Source organism: Homo sapiens, chromosome 13 (assembly GCF_000001405.40).
Source record: "Homo sapiens chromosome 13, GRCh38.p14 Primary Assembly".
In the NCBI taxonomy this organism is placed as follows: domain Eukaryota; kingdom Metazoa; phylum Chordata; class Mammalia; order Primates; family Hominidae; genus Homo; species Homo sapiens.
Genome location: NC_000013.11, coordinates 97,855,467 through 97,858,513, shown reverse-complemented (window position 1 = coordinate 97,858,513; position 3,047 = coordinate 97,855,467). Strand labels below are relative to the sequence as shown.

Genomic DNA, 3,047 nt, shown 5'->3' with positions numbered 1-3,047 from the left:
AGATGCAGAGCTCCAGGGGGATGGGGCTCCTCTACTCCAGCTTATTGTTGTTAAGTTCCAGCACCGCCTGGGTTACAAATCTGGATTAAAAAAAAAATCTAAAAATGTTGGCAACTCATTCAATTTAAAAATGTGCTTTGCTCACCAAAAACACAGCTGTGGCCACATATGGCTTGCAGGCCACTAGTTTACTGCCTCTGCTCTGAGCTGCCTTTCAGAACCTTCCAGGGGACTGAATCCCCTGATTCCATGGCAGCCCTTCCTCCTTCCAGGCCTGCTGGTCAAATAATGCCTCTCACTGTACACATCGTCTGTACTCTCAATTCCCCACCAAACTCCCCATTCCTTGAGTGACCATGTTTGAACATACTCCTACTGGTGGTGAGTTCTCCCAGAGTATGTCGGACCGAATCATAGTGTGTAACATTGGCGGGGAAACCAAGGGAAGAGTATTTTGTTTGATGCAGGTCATGTAGGGTGTCAATGGAGTGTGGGCTTCGCAGCCACATGCTCATGATCCTGCCTCTCTACTGACCAGCTGAGTGATCCTGTCCAAGAGGCTTCATCTCTCAAAGCCTTGGTTTTCTCATCTGCACGATCTGGAGAATAATTCCTGGCAGTGTTGTTGTAAAGCTATTTTAATTTCTGTTGTATAGTCAATGCTTATTTTTGCTCAGACTATGGGAATTCTGCAGTTGAAAGGGCCCTTGGAAATCGCCTGTCAATCCTGTCACCATGCAGATGTAGAAATGAGAGGGTTTGGTTCCAGGAATTAGTCCAAGGTCTCAGCTAGCCAAATTAAGAATTAGTTTGCAAAAAATTTTTTAATGATATATTTTATGGTAGAATTGGCTATAATATCCCATAGCTCATCCATGCAGCAATATGAATTAATTATTAAAGCAGGACTATTGCTCCAAAATCTATCAATTAGAGTACTGGGGAGAGAAACTGGGTACTCACATTTCTTTCATTTATTATCTGTGCAACAGTCACTTAATCTCTCTAAGACTCATTTTGGCATTAAAAAAGGCATTATGATAAGTTCTTTGCCGTCTGAGTGTTACTCTGAGCGCTATTGATGCGTTATTTCACAAACTTGCAGCACACACGTGGTCTCATCATCTCTTAAAAAATGAAAACTAACCCAAGATCATTATTAAAATTTTTTTTAGAGGCGAGGTCTGTCTATGTTGCCCAGGTTGGCCTCGAATGCCCAGGCTTGAGCAATCTTCCTGCCTTAGCCTCACAAGTGGCTGGGGTTACAGGCCACACCACCACACCCAGCTCCGAAGTCATTCTTGACTAGCAGAAAGGCTGGTATCTCCTTCTTAGGGCTACCTGCTCCCCCAGTTGTTTAAAAACTTGAGGGTTATAGTGTCTAAGGTGGGAGGTGGTAGGGAGTTGGGTGGTGAAGCCAAAGTTTAATCAGTTCGCCGTTGCCACAGCTCCTCCTTGCCACACCGTGTCAATGTCAGAGCCACCTCTAAGTCCCCCAGGGACTTTCCAGAAGTTAGGGAGGAATGCCCGTCTGGGCATGCACAGCCCTGTGGACTCTTTGTGTGGCACAGGAAATCTGGGCAAGATCTCAGCTCCTACTTGCTTCTGTGAGCCTCACGTCCAACATCCCAAGTGGTGGCCCTGGTAGGGAGGACGCCTGGTCCAGCACCATCTGACAGAGATGCTGACCTGGTGCAGACTGAGTTCTGTGCTCATTACTGTGGTTCTCTGAGGGAGGACCCAGCCCCTGCCCTCCTTGTGCTCCTGAGTTTACAGCTTTCATAGCTCAGCTGTTTCACTTCTTCTGGCGGCCATTCCAGGAGGCAAGAGACACCTGGGGAGCACCTGTGTCATCTCTTCCTCCTCCTTGGGGAACCACAAACTTCACCGTCAGAATACAGAGGGCCTGAGTTCTGCCCCTTTGGTAAATTCTAGGGCCAACAGCCCTTCTTCCAAGGGCCTGAATACCTACAGGAAGGCCTCCTCCTGAGAGTGCTGGTGGGACTTACCCTCTTGATATTGATACAAGTAGCTCCTAGAACATGCTATGACTGAGCAAAACCAAAAAACCCAATGCAAATTAAAGCTCCTTAGAGCCATCTTGATACACGTAGGCATCATATCGTATTAGATATTTAAAAAAAAATCTGCAGTTAATGCTGTAAATCAGGTGGAATGTGAAATCAGCTGGCGGCTTCATAATCCTCCAAGGAGCTGGACCTTCTGGGAAACCCTGCAATCCTTTTTTGGACTGGCTCTCATTTGCATATGAAATTGAGGGTGCTTCGACATCCTTCGAGCCGGGTTGCACAAGTCTTAGCTGGCCTCCCTTGTGACCGAGAAACAGGGGCCCAGCCTGGGGTCAGGGCCTGGAATTGCTTCCTTTGGGACTCAGCCAAGCGCAGGCCTTCCACATTAGCATTAGTGCTTTCTTCCATCAGAATTCAGCTGCCCCCCAGAGCCAGTCCCTGTGCCAGAATCCAGACAACCACTAGATCCATGGTAGATTACTGTAAACAGTAGAGTTTTTTTTTGTTTGTATGTTTGGAATTCTAGCAAGACTGACCAATTTAAAAAAACTCTCAGAGCTCAGTGAAAGCAAACCAAGGATTAAGTGAAAACACCAGCAAACAAAATCGATAAATCAGTAACTTAAAGAATGGACCTTCGAGGCCTGCTGTTCAGAGTGCTTTGCCAAGTGACGTAAGAGCCAATGACTTGAGATGCAGAAGAAAAGTTGGGAATGATTTTCCTTAGCGGGAATTCATTTATTTTGCGTGTGCGCTGACAGTGAAGGGCTGAAAGCAATGCTATATCGCCCCCTAGTGCCAAATATACGCACATTATCTATGCTGCTTGGGCTCCAACATTGCCATGGCCTTCTCCAAATAAAGCCAATGCATTTTGATGAAATCTAACTGCAACAAATCACATGTGACAGATACTAAAAACAATTATTCCAAGACTTTCCCTGGCTTCTATTTTATTTTAGTTTTTATTTCTCATCTTAAACTTTTATTAAAATATATTTGACTGATTAAAGCAAA

At 45.4% G+C, this 3,047-nt stretch overlaps 3 annotated features.

Moving 5' to 3' along the window:
• Positions 1,698-1,797: an enhancer, noted in NCBI's record as "active region_7897". NCBI's record gives its function as "activates an Ori minimal core promoter by ATAC-STARR-seq in GM12878 lymphoblastoid cells {active_cell/tissue: GM12878}" and the evidence as "EXISTENCE:reporter gene assay evidence [ECO:0000049][PMID:35858748]".
• Positions 1,818-1,937: an enhancer, noted in NCBI's record as "active region_7896". NCBI's record gives its function as "activates an Ori minimal core promoter by ATAC-STARR-seq in GM12878 lymphoblastoid cells {active_cell/tissue: GM12878}" and the evidence as "EXISTENCE:reporter gene assay evidence [ECO:0000049][PMID:35858748]".
• Positions 1,968-2,037: an enhancer, noted in NCBI's record as "active region_7895". NCBI's record gives its function as "activates an Ori minimal core promoter by ATAC-STARR-seq in GM12878 lymphoblastoid cells {active_cell/tissue: GM12878}" and the evidence as "EXISTENCE:reporter gene assay evidence [ECO:0000049][PMID:35858748]".